At 34.8% G+C, this 13,883-nt stretch overlaps 1 protein-coding gene across 6 annotated transcripts in view; it reads left to right on the top strand.

The window, feature by feature from the left end:
• The window catches only part of CASP5 (caspase 5), a 28,926-nt gene that overhangs the window by 8,644 nt on the left and 6,399 nt on the right, over positions 1 to 13,883 (top strand). The window contains exons 2-5 of one of the 6 annotated variants that reach the window (NM_004347.5): positions 5,545 to 5,718; positions 7,191 to 7,442; positions 11,142 to 11,251; positions 12,324 to 12,497. In NM_004347.5, the coding sequence (NP_004338.3) occupies positions 5,545 to 5,718; positions 7,191 to 7,442; positions 11,142 to 11,251; positions 12,324 to 12,497 (710 nt within the window). Of the gene's footprint in view, positions 1 to 5,505; positions 5,719 to 7,190; positions 7,443 to 11,141; positions 11,252 to 12,323; positions 12,498 to 13,883 lie in introns of all 6 variants that reach the window. The other 5 variants (NM_001136112.3, NM_001136109.3, NR_024239.3 and 2 more) reach the window with 5 other exon arrangements.

Raw genomic sequence — 13,883 nt, 5'->3', positions numbered from 1 at the left:
GATAATTATTAGACTTCCCTTGAGTGCCAGAAGTAGTGCAGGCCTAGTTTATGGCCACCTATCCTCACAGAGCATAAAATCTAATGGTGGATGCTGAGAATTAGGCTGGAAATCACAATTAAAGGTAAAAAACTATGCTACCCTAAAGAGAAACAAGGTGCCCTAGGGGCATGTACCTCTGACATTGTCTCCCCTCAGAGAATCAGAGGATTGCCTGAAAAAAAAAAATGCCATCTGGTCTTAGACTTGGAGAATGAACAGAAAGTATAGGAGAATAGGAAGCAAGGAGAAGGTGGGAGACTGGACTAGACATTAAATGAAGAGCAGAATATTTTAATTGTAATGAGCAAGGTGGGGACAGTATCAGAAGATGAGGCTGAATGAGAAGGCCTAGGTTAGAATAAGCTGAGACGTTTCATGGTCAAATCTAGATATAGGAACACTCTTTATTGTGAAGAATAGAATAGAAAGGACAAAAAGAAGGTTTATAAGGTTCTTGGTGTAATTCAGAAAGAAAGGGTGTTGGCCTGAATAGAAGTAATGAACAATTAAAATTAAGAGTAGTGGTCAGATTCTGAAAATGTTTAGTAAATAAAATCAATGCAGTGTGAATTGAGTTGGGGAATAAGACATACAGAAGGCAGAAGAAGTTTAATATCACCAGGTTTTGCTGCCTTCCCGCACTTGGAAGTTAGGTATTATTTTTTACTATATGGAGGAGCAAATGAAGGATGGAAATAGAAGAAAATTAGCAGTTCAATTTTAAAAGTTCAATTGAATGAGGTTGTGGGAGTATTTTAAGTGACGTCTCATTTTTGGACGTATGGGTTTCCATACGGGATCCACATCTGGGCTGATCCATAAATTTGAGTCATTTATTTATTATTTTAAACTTATAATTGATGCTATGAGAATTTATAGATTATGAAAAGAGGCTCTCAAGCCAAATGTCTTGAATTGTTTTTTATAAATATTATTTTATTTATTTAATTGGCAAATAAATATTTTATGTACTTATGTACAAAATGATGTTTGAAATATATATTGTAGAATGCCTAAAGAGCTAAATAACATATGCATTACCTCATATGCTCATCTTTTTTTGTGATTACAGCACTTAAAATTTACACTGTCAAACAATTTTCAAGAATTCATCATTGACTATAGTCACTATGTGGTGCAATAGATTTCTTAAACTTACTTCTCCGATCTAATTGAAATGTTGTTTCCTTTGATCAACATCTCCCCAAACTTCCTGCCTCCTCCTAATCACCACCATTCTACCCTCTGCTTTTATGTGTTTAACTTTTGTGAGTCTACACATCAGTGAGATCATATAGTATTTGTTTTTTGGTGCCCAGCTTGGCTTATTTTATTTAATGTAATGTTATCCATGTTAATCAATGTTGTCACAAATGACAAGATTTCTTTCTTTTTTCTAAAGCTGAATACTGTTGCATTATGATACTTTCTCCATCCATTCATCCATCTACAGATACTTAGGTTGATTTTATATCTTGCCTATTGTGAATAATGCTGCAATCACAATGGAAGTGTATATGTCTTTTCAACACACTGACTTAATGTTTAAAATATATACTAAATATTTGGGCTGCTACATCATTTTTAACATTTTTAATTCATTTTAATTTTTAACTTTTTGAGGAGTTTCCTATTGTTTTTCATTATGACTGTACTAATTTATATTTTCACCAACAGTATACAAGAGTTCCTTTTTCTCTACATCCTTTCCAACACTTGTTATCTTTTTTTTTTATAATACCCATTCTAATCATTCTAACAGGTGTGAGGCATTATCTCATTGTGGTTTTAATGTCCCTGGTGATCAGAGATGTTGAGCATTTTGTATAGACCTGTTGTCCATTTATGCATCTTCCTTTGAAAAATGTCTATTTTGGTCCTTGGCTCATTTTGTAATATTTGTTTTCTTCCTATTGAATTGTGTTTCTCATATATTTTGAATATTAATATCTTATCAGACATATGGATTCAAATATTTACTCCTATTCTGTTGGTTATCTCTTCACACTGTTGTTTCCTTGGCTTTGCAAAAGCTTTTTAGTTTGATGTAATCTCATATCTTAATTTTGCTTTCTTTTCCCATATTTTTAGTGTTATATCCAAAAATCATTGTCTATACCAGTGTCATTAAGCTTTTCCACGTTTTTGTGTAGTAGTTTCAAAGTTTCAGTTATTAGGCTTATGTTTTTAATCCATTTTGAGTTGATTTTTGTATATGGTGGCAGATAAGGGCCCGTTTTCATTCTTCTGCTCTTGGATATTTAATTTTCCCAACATCATTTATCGAAGAAAGTGTCCTTAGCCTATTGTCTGTTCTTGAAACTTTGTCAAAAATAAATTTACTGTAAATAACTGGGTTTATTTCTGGCCTTTTTGTTTTATTCCATTGATCTCTGTGTTTGCTTTTATGCCAGTACTATGTTTGATTATTATAACTTTGCAGTATGTTTTAAAGTCAGGTTGTGTGCTGCCTCCAGTTTTGTTCTTTACTCAAGGATGCTTTGGCTATTTGAATTTTTAAATAATTCCATATGAATTTTAAGGTTGATTTTCCTATTTCTGTAAAAAATGCCATTGGAGGCTTAATAGGAATTGTATTGAATTCATAGATTTCTTGGGTAGTATAGACATAATAATGTAATATTTTCCAATTCATGAACACGGGATATCTTTTGATTTTTGTGAATCTCAGGCATTTTCTTCTGTCAATGTTTTATAGTTATGAGTATATACATCTTTAACTTTTTGGTTACATTTATTCCTTATTATTTCATGAAATTTTTTTATAGCCATTATAAATGAGATTTTTATCATCCAATTTTTTAGTTTGTTGTTATAAAAATGATACTAATTTTTGCATGTTGTTTTTGTATCCTTCAACTTTACTGCATTTGTGTATTAGTTCCAACAGATTTTTCATGGAGCATTTAGGGTTTTCTTAATATATGTAAGATCATGTCATTCATAAACAGGACACATTAACTTCTTCCTCTCCTATTTTGATGCCTTTAAATTCTTTCTGTTGTCTAATTCCTCTGGTTAGGATTTCTAGAATAGAAGCGGTGAAAGTGGGTGTGTTTGTCCTCTTCCTAATCTTTGAAGAAAAGCTTTTATCTTTTCACCATTGAGTATGATGTTAACTGTGTGTTTTCTATAAGTGGCATTTATTGTGTTGTAAACCTCTTTAGGTTAATTGCTTTTCACATGTCTCCACATATTCATTCAGTCAAAACTATATTCATTTACTAAGCATGCAAGTAAGTTAAATAGAACTTCAGAACTCAGGCAGAGTAGACATTCCATTAACTAATCTGTGTACTCTTTGCAAATCTTCACATTCCCTGTTCCAACATCTACATTGCATTTAAAACCAACGTTTTTGTCTTGTCTTCTAAGAAGCCTCTGTAAACTCTCCTCCTGGAATTTTCTCATCTTTTCTGAGTTCCTTAAGCATCTTATCTGTGTTCTCTTAAGAAGCTCTTCAACAACTATCATGTAATGTAGTTTCATGACTTAAGAGTTGGGGCTCTGGATTCTGATCACTTGTACTTCTATTCCTGCTCCGGAGTTACTGTATACTTCATTTTCTTTTCACAGGATTACACTCAATTTCTTAAGTAACTTATCTGTATATGTTTCCTTTTCCATATAAAAGAGGTTAATATACATTTTGCATGGAGTTTTTGTGAAATTTCAGTAAAGCACTTGACCTCATGGGGGTTCAACATATATTATTATTACTGAAAGCCTGTCATGGTTAACTCTATGGAATGTGGTGTAAAAATAGGATTTGAACCCTAATTCATGTGATTTAGGGCAGCCTATTATTTAAATGACTTATAAAATTGATAAAATAATAAATATTCTACTGGTTTATTGTGAGAGTCCAGTATACTACTATTTGTAAAGTACTTAGAAGAGAGACTTGTAAATAATAATGATTATTACTGATATGATATAATAATAATAATGATAATTACTGATTTATTATATCAGTATAATGATAATTACTGATTTATTATATCAGTATAATAATGATAATTACTGATTTATTATATGAGTATAATAATAATGATAATTACTGATTAAATCATTATAATAATGATAATTACTGATATTGTTAATAATAATGATAATTACTCATGATATAATGATGATTGTCATTGCTTTATGTGAATTCATTTTTTAATCACAAAAAATACATAGGAGATGTTACATTTATTAAATGTAACTTTTTGTCCTGTTTTGTAACTTCCATGTGTCTTTCTAATAATGGTTGGTTCATTATTGGCATATGAACTCAAGATAACCTGGAAAATGAGTCTGGTGCTTCTAGGCCAAAATTTTGTTCAATGTCCTGACATGTTTTCTTTAGAAAATGTATTTTGTGTGAAAGCTATCCTTATATTTAGATAAACTAGATAATGATCTTTATAGAGTTAACAGAAGAGAGGAGATATCTGGCTTTTCCACATACAACCTGCTTAAATCATATCTCTTGTATTGAAATAAGTGATTTATTACTTTGATATATATATGTGTGTGTGTGTGTGTATGTGTGTATATATATATGTGTATATATATGTATATATGTGTATATATATGTGTGTATATATATGTATATATATGTGTATATATATGTGTATATATATATGTGTATATATATATGTGTGTGTATATATATATATACGTGTGTATATATATATATATACGTGTGTGTGTGTATATATATATATATATATATATATATATATATATATATGTGTGTATATATATATCTCCTGGTAAAAATCTGAATTATACCAAGGAGTAATACATTAACTCAGTATTATATTAATCTACCATAATATTTGTTAAATATTTTCAATTCTAAATTTTGGTTTGAGAAAAGGCGCTGAAGAATTAGGTATCTAGATGCATTTATCCACTTAATGATTAAGTTGGATGTTTACTTATGTATTCAGCAAGCAGATTAAGCACTTTTAAGCATTTTGAGCAGAAAATTGTTAATTAGCACAATTGGGTATAGCTTGTGTGTTAAAAAACACAAATTCAAAGATATAGTTAATTCACCAAGGAAGCTAAATACAGAGAAAAGGAAAGATCCTGCAGTCTAGTAGGAATAATTTACAGTCTAGACAAGAGAATGGACTGTCCTGGGTGCACACACTTCAGGTAGGTCATCATGAGTTTGAGCAAGAGAGAGAAATCTGAATACAATGGATGACCAGGAATTTAGCATTAGGCCCAATGCTGCAGAAAGGAAAAAGACAAGCTATAAAAAACAAACTTAAGTGGCAATGAATTGTTAAACACAGCCTGGTAGGAATTTGATGGGTGAGAGAATGCTACAGGTACAAAGAAATAATGAGTATTTGTTGAAGACATGGTAAGACAGAATGTATTTTCAAGGGTGTTTCACATTACAGAGCTTTGTCTAAAGCAAGGGCAAAACTCTTTAAGCTGTGCCCAGAGTTGAAGGAGTCTTTATATTTCTGATAGAAGACAGTGGCAAAAAAAAAAGGCGTAAGAATTTTGAAGCTATGTTCAAAGGTATCCTTCAGAGTGGATTGGATAACTTCGTGATAAACCACATGCTAAAGAACAACGTGGCTGGACAAACATCTATCCAGACCCTAGTACCTAATACGGATCAAAAGTCGACCAGTGTAAAAAGTAAGACTGGATATTTTACAATGGATATTTCCAATTTTTTAGAATCTGTTCAATTATAAGTCCCATGCAGTGACTTCTGTGATCCCCCTATCCTCCTTCCTTTATGAAACTATCATTTTCACCAAACCTATAATTTTTCCTTCAGGGACTACCTTGTCTTTTGTGGGGTGGGATCCAGTTTCCAATCGGCTAAAAGGCTGAGTCCTTGGGTTCAGATTGTGCATGGAAATAATTAATAGTAGAGGCTTGTAGTAAGACATATTCAAACCTAAATCTAGATTCTGTTACTAATAATCTGTGTGGCTTCCTGCATGTATCTTAACCTCTCTTGCTCCCTAATCATCAGTCTTACCATCTATGAAATGGGGACAATTTCAGTACTTTCTCACAAGACTGTGGAAGGTTAGAAACATTGTGTTGGCTGGCATCAACATGCCAATAACTCCCAAGATATTAGCTGTCATCCAGAACTCTCTCCTCTGAGCTCCAGACTCATTTAGCTCTAGATGTATTTTCAACAATTCTGCTCCAGTGTTTCATTGGCTTCATTAAACTAATGATTACCTAAAAATTAAACACTTTTTCTTCTAAACAAATTTGTTCCAACTTTAACCCCTTTCCATTTTAGTAAAAGAAACTAATATATATCAAATTTCTCCCACCAGAATGCAACTGGTTGCTTTACCAATGACTGGCAGTAATTAGAAGAGGGCCAGGCAAAAAAATTTATCACTTTGATATCTATATTTTCCAATAAAAATTCAAATTATGCTAAGGTGTAGTGATTAACCTGATGTCACATAAATTCACCATGCTAGAGTAGTTATGATATTATTTTCAATTTCAAATTTTGATTGAGGAAAAGATGCTAAAAAATTAGGACTCTGGGTGCAGTCATCCATTTGTTCATTAAGTCATGTATTTAGCAAGCATGCTAAGTACTTTTAAGCATTTTGGGCACAAAGATGTTAATGAGCACAAAGATGTGGGTATAGGATGTGTGCTAAAAATGCAAATTCAAAGATATAGTGCTTTCCCCAAGGAAACTAAATACAGCAAAGAGGCAAGATTGTATAGTCTAGTAGTATTTACAGTCTAGACAAGAGCATGGACTGTCCTGGGAGTGTCCATTTCAGGTAAATTATCATCATCATGAGCTGTGAGCAAGAGAAAGAGAAATATGAAAGCAGCAGGTGACCAGGAAATTAGCATTATTCCCAATGCCACAGAAGGAAGAAGAAAAGCTATAAAAACAAATTTAAGAGGAAATGAATTGCTAAGCACAGTCTGGTATGAATTTGATAGGTGAGAGAATTCTGCAGTTGCAAAAAAAGATGTGTGTTATTCGCTGGAGACATGGTAAAATAGAATGTATTTTTAGAGGAGTTTCATATTACAGAGTTATGTCTTAGGTGAAGGCAGAACTCTTTAAGCTGTGCCCATAGTTAAAGGAGTCTTTCTATTTCTGACAGAAGACAACCACAAAAAAAAAACAGTTAAGATGTTGGAATACCTGGGCAAAGATGTTCTTCATGGTGTTTTTAATTATTTGGCAAAACACGATGTTCTGACATTGAAGGAAGAGGAAAAGAAAAAATATTATGATACCAAAATTGAAGACAAGGCCCTGATCTTGGTAGACTCTTTGCGAAAGAATCGCGTGGCTCATCAAATGTTTACCCAAACACTTCTCAATATGGACCAAAAGATCACCAGTGTAAAACGTAAGGTTGCATCTAACACGATAAATATGTTAAATTTTCCAGAATATATTCAACTCCAAGGCCCATGCAGTGTTATCTGTGATCTACCTACAGTTTCATTTCTAAACTCTCATTTTCAGTAAACATGTCATCATCCTGTTAGAGACCACCTTGTCTTTTATGGGACGGGATCAAATTTCCAATTAGCCAAAAAGCTGTGTCCTTGTGTTTAGACTGTGCACAGAAATAGTTAATAAGGGAGATTTTTTAGTAGGAGATACCTAAACCCAAACTTAGATTCTGTCACATGTGAACTATGCAGCTTCATGCAAGTTTCTTGACCTTCCATTCTCCCTAGTCATCAGTCTTACCACCTGTGAAATGTGGGCAATTCCAGCACTTTCTCACAAGACTGTCTACAGCCAGAAACATTGTAATGCCAGGCACCACATGCCAACAACTTCCAAGATACCAGCTCTCATTCAGGACTCTCTCATCTGAGCTCCAGACTCATTTAGCTCTAGCGGCATATAAAACAATTCTGCTCCAGTGTTTCACTGGCATCACAAAATGAATACAGCTAAAATTAAATGCTTTGTTTTCCAGAATAAACGTGCTCCACTTTTAACCCTTTTCCGCTTCAGTAAAAAGAAGTAACATGCACCAAGTTTCTGCTACCAGAATGTAACTGGTTTCTTCACCAATTAATAAGAGTAATTAATGGAGATCCTGGCACATAGCAGATACCTAATTAATGTGTGATGAATAAACAAATGAAGTATACGCATGCAATAAAGAGTGCTTTCTTAATTATTATTTGGGCGCTACAAATTGGAATTTTCCAATGCTTACTCATTTCTGTGAGTTACAAAATTATGATCAGGGAACTACTATAAAATGTTTAAATTTTATAACATTTCAAAACTTTTGACACGGATTGAATTATCAGTATTATTAGAGCCTAAATGTTCTCAGATCCATGTTTTCCAGGGAAGGACTCAATTTGCCATAGACTTTAAACTGAAATCTTCAGCCCTGAACTACTACAGCTTACCAATAATCACATACGATCATGAACATAAAGCAACATAAATTGTTCAAACCTCACTATACAAAATAAACTCCCCTTCTCTGTGGGGAAAGTTTCCCCTCAACAGAAACCACATGCTAGTATAGTTGTCCAAGATTTTAGGCAAGGATGCATTCTTATTAATATTTAAACTGGTCTTTTGCAAGTATTTTCCTTTTCCTCAAACCTGGAATGGCATGAGGAAAAAATATCGGTTTTTAAAAATCAGAGATAATGCAACAAATAGGAATCATATTTGTAGCAATACGGGCTTCAAAATGATTTTAGCAATCCCAGATATCATATATGATGAGCACTAAACTCTAAACTGAATTAGCCTATCTGATCAGCAGAGGCTGTGGCAAGAAGGAGGCAGCTGCAGATCCCTGCAGGAGGGGTCCAGTGGCTCTCTGCACTCTATCTGCATTTGTATTCTCCAGAATGATCGATCCCAGAATACTTTGAGTACACTGGCACAGCAGACCAGGAAGCTGGGTGGGCTGGGCTATTAGAAGAGGTACAGGCCTTGGCTAGGCCTTTGGATATGGTTATAATTATGAGGGTTTCCAACAAAGCATTGGATTCTGGAGTGCAGGATAAGAAGAATCCTAGCTATTCATTTGTTATTTAACTGTTTACACACACACACACACACACACACACACACACACACACACATATATATATACACACTATATACCGATGATCTGATTTAGTCAGGAGATAACCACCTAAGTCCCTATGTGCTGTGGGAAATTGCTTTACTGATCCTGTACCACTCCACTACTCCCTTTCTTGTTGTGTCAATGTTAAGAGATTCCTGAGCAGATTCCTGAGAGATTCCTGTTTCATTAGATAATAGATAAGACTCAAATTGAAATTTTTATCTAAACTCCTGATTTCCACATTACTTCCTGTTGCACTGCCAGGCTAATAGAAACTCTCTTTGGAAGGAGACTGCACTATAATATTTATTATTTTGTAATAAAATAATATTTTTGTACTAATTCTACTACTGGATATAAGATAGAATTTCTGTCTAATTTCTAATTTTACTGGAAAACACCTGTTCTACACACAGACACATAAAAGTCTTAGGAGATGACTGTTAAGTTGGAAGTTCTCCAAACCTTTAAACAGGAAAACATACCCTCAGACCAGTAATATCCCAGGACCCTAGATGTCTTCACATTGGCAGACTTTTCTGAAATGAGAAGAAAAAGCATCTGTCACTGTTTAATCTATGAAAAAAGAGATGCTTAGAAGGTATGGTTTCCTTACACACTTAGAACTTATTGCATTCCCAGAACTCACGCTTTTATCATACTCTTTAGCAAGACATTTACTTTAAAATATTATTAAAAATGAAGAGAAACAAATGATTGATATATAAAAAATACATGAAATATTTAAAAACAATATAAATTTTATACAGAACAATATTACTTTACTCATGATTCCTATGTCTTGGTTGGGTCACGTAACCAAACATAAAAGTATACTTGTCCATTTCTTTCATGAAAAGAAATCTTGTTATTAGATCTTACTAAATTCTTCTTTGAATTTGTATACATAAATTCCTTTTTCTTTTCCAGAAGGAGGGCTCAATAATCTCCCAGTTTTTTGCACAATATCGGTCAAAAGAGATCAATATTACATTTCACAAGGGGATAGATCAGAATTACTCAGAAGCAAACTTATCCAAAACAGATGTATTATTTCCTCACATTATAAAATATGAGTTGGACAGTGTTGGCTGTCCAGCAGTTTAGAGACAAGATGTTCAGAGTTACGTCAGAATCTCATACAAATATTTGTCCCTTTGACCTTGGACACAGTACTATTGTGTACTGTGTTGTCACTAGACAACCTTTCTTCATAAATAGGTGATTTCACAATTTGTTGAAAGATAACTGAAGCTTATTTCTTCTAGAATAATTATTAATTCACATAAAAGTTGCTTAAAAAATACCAGGATGGTACAGGATTCAATATTCTATCAAACGTTTGTTGTATACATGTATCTGTATGTGGTGTGAACTAGGAGGGGACTATCAATCCAAAATGGGATGTTGTCCCATCCACTTTTGTAGCCACCAGACATAACTTGTGGCTAGTGACATATGTTGAAATAATAATATTTTGAATATATTATGTTAAATAAATATATTATTACAATTATTTTTACCTTTTGTAAATGTGATATTAGAAAATTTAATATTGCATATGGAACTCACATTGTATTTCAAATAGCACTCTGACAAGTATTTACTTAGCACACTCTTGCCCAGACACAGCAGAAAGTCCAAATAAATGAATGAGTACCCTAGCGTAAAACCACTGGAAAAATCAAACTGTTTTTCTGAATATAGAAAAGCCAAATTTAACTTTAAATCATCAAGATTTTTTCTCCAGAATAATCGGAATCTATAGTTGCATCTTCTTCTTGGTGGGGTTGTGGGAGTCTGCTTTCTCTATCAGGGAATTCTCACAACACATTTCCTTAAGCTGGAAATTAGGTACAGCTATAACCCCTAAATATAAAGAGTCTTTTTCCTAGGATTTCTCTCTCTCTCTCTCTCAAAGTTCTTAGGTGATAAATTGGGTCACAGAGGCAGAAACCATAATTTATATTTTGTGATATCCCACAGCTCTTCTGCAAATCGAGGCTGGACCACCTGAGTCAGCAGAATCTACAAATATACTCAAACTTTGTCCTCGTGAAGAATTCCTGAGACTGTGTAAAAAAAATCATGATGAGGTGCTGTGCTCTCTGTATGAAATGGGGAAGAAGAGAGAAACAATTGCTTTCATTAAATGCAATGCACATTTTTAAAAATGGGGTCTTGCTCTGTTGCCCAGCCTGGAGTGCTGTGGTGTGATCATAGCTGACTGCTATCTTGAACACATGGGCTCAAGAGATTCTCCAGCCTCAGCCTCCCAAGTAGTTAGCACTACAAATGCACACTACCTTGCCAGGCTGATTTTTTTTTTAATTTTTGTAGAGATATAGTCTCCCTATGTTGTCCAGTCTGTTCTCCAAATCCTATCTTCATGAGATCCACAGCCTTGGCCTCCCAAAGCACTGGGATTACAGGCGGGAACCACAGTGCCAGCCATAAATGCACAAATACTTAAAGCACTAAATGATGAGGGGGTGGTGACAGTGGTAACCTTTATGATAGATGCTTTCAGCAGGCAAGGGTTCATATGGCTTCAAACAAATACCAGTGCTCATTCAATCCATGATAAAATGTAGCTTTCTCTTTTTTATCATTTATTGATTTTTGTATCAATTTGGGATTTATTACAATTTCAGATAAAGCCACAAAATAAAATGTTTATAACATGGCTGAGTAGTAATTGTTTATACCCAGTTGAAAAGCCTAGACATAAAATATATTTGAAAAGTATAATTAAATCTTGAAAATCATTGTAAGTTTATGTTTTTAAAATAGTACCAAAATAATCATAATACGGAAGGCAAAGAAAATTTGCTATATTTATTTTTACTGGAGCCGATGACAACACCTCTTGGTTTATATGAAATTTGATTTGAACCTAAATATAAGAAATGTTTGAGTAGGTGGAGAAGAAAAAGGAGAAGGAAGGGGGTAGGAATTATTCTAGTTTCCTCAAGATTCTAGAGTGATCATTCCAGATATGTCCTGGTTCTTGCTCTGGGCTCTTGAGAGAGAGGAAGGCAGTGTCTTCTGATAGAGGTTAGGGAAGGTGGCAGCTGCATGAGGTCTTAAAAAAGCAAAATTGTGAGGCATATGGGGGTTGAAAAGAGACTCGGGTAATCAAAGTTGCTTCATCTCCATCTCCTGCAGATCTATCCAATAAAAAAGAGAGAGGACCGCAGACGCCTGGCTCTCATCATATGCAATACAAAGTTTGATCACCTGCCTGCAAGGAATGGGGCTCACTATGACATCGTGGGGATGAAAAGGCTGCTTCAAGGCCTGGGCTACACTGTGGTTGACGAAAAGAATCTCACAGCCAGGGTAAGAACCCCTAAGCCATCTCACACTCATCCATAGGCAACACAGATTCTTCTAATAATTAGTTAGCTTTATAGAAGTTCAACAAGGTTTAACAACCTCTGGGTTCGTGTGCGTGTGTGTGTGTGTGTGTACATGCGCACATGCACTAGCAAATGAAATTATTGAACACATAAATCAGTGTCTCTTTTGAGCCTCAAATACCCTCAACTCCATAAAACTAGACAAAATATGATTGGCATGTATTTTCGCAATTGTTACTGAGTTCCAATAAGATCAGGTGATTGGGATGTAGCCCCAAGATTCCACATAAAATCACAGAGTAATGTGTTTTAGGCAGGAGGGCACTCTATTTTTATTTTTATTTATTTTTTGAGACCAAGTCTCACTCTGTCGCCCAGGCTGGAGTGTAGTGGCGTGATCTTGGCTCACTGCAACATTCACCTTCCACAAGCGATTCTCCTGCCCTACCGAGTAGCTGGGGCTACAGGAGCGTGCCACCACGCCCGGCTAATTTTCTCTATTTTTAACAGAGATGAGGTTTCACCTTGTTAGCCAGGATGGTCTCGATCTCCTGACCTCGTGATCTGCCCGCCTTGGCCTCCCAAAGTGCTGGAATTACAGGCGTGAGCCACCGCACCCGGCCCAGGAATGCACTCTTAAAACAAATATTAAATCCAAACTTTGGGGCCAAGAGCTTTTCCTGATACTGTGGATAAGTCTGTAAATGATACCAGAAGTTTCAAATTGCAAGGATCTAGGTTAGAGTGGAGGTAAAATCTCACAATATAAACGAAACCGGACAATTTCAGATAATGAGTGTGTGTATGTGTCTATATAAGAATAACAAGAGAATCCAAAGTAAGCAAAAAGGAAACATGAGAGAGAATGTTGGATGGGGTGCGATGTTTTTGGGTTGGTCCAGAAAAGCCTCTGTGGGGAGAGAACACAGGAGTTGGACGGCACTACCGGAAGGAATGGAATGGCTCTGGGAAGATGAGAATGCAGCGCCTTCCCAGTAGGGGGCGCTACCTGTGAAAGAGCTGAGCTGAAAATGAAACTGGCACATGTGAGGCACAACAGATCAGTGTGACTAGAGATTGAAGCAGAACAGACATAGTATAAGGATGAGTATGGTCAGGCCAGAAGATTGATTTTATTCTAAGCAACGTATGTTGGGTTTTACAAGGACAGTGGTGTGATGCGTTTATAACACATGACTCTTGTTAGGAAAGGAGAGAAAAGATTGAGATAAAAAAAAGTAATATAAGTAACATATAAAAATATACAATATATTAAGAAGACAGTGTATGGTGTGTCAGCAGGGAGAAAAAGTAGGAACCCACAGCCCCATTACAAAGGAAAAAAAAAACAAAACAAAAAAACATA

Source organism: Homo sapiens, chromosome 11 (assembly GCF_000001405.40).
Source record: "Homo sapiens chromosome 11, GRCh38.p14 Primary Assembly".
In the NCBI taxonomy this organism is placed as follows: domain Eukaryota; kingdom Metazoa; phylum Chordata; class Mammalia; order Primates; family Hominidae; genus Homo; species Homo sapiens.
The sequence above is the reverse complement of the archived record's forward strand: the minus strand, read 5'-3'. Positions and strand labels throughout refer to the sequence as shown.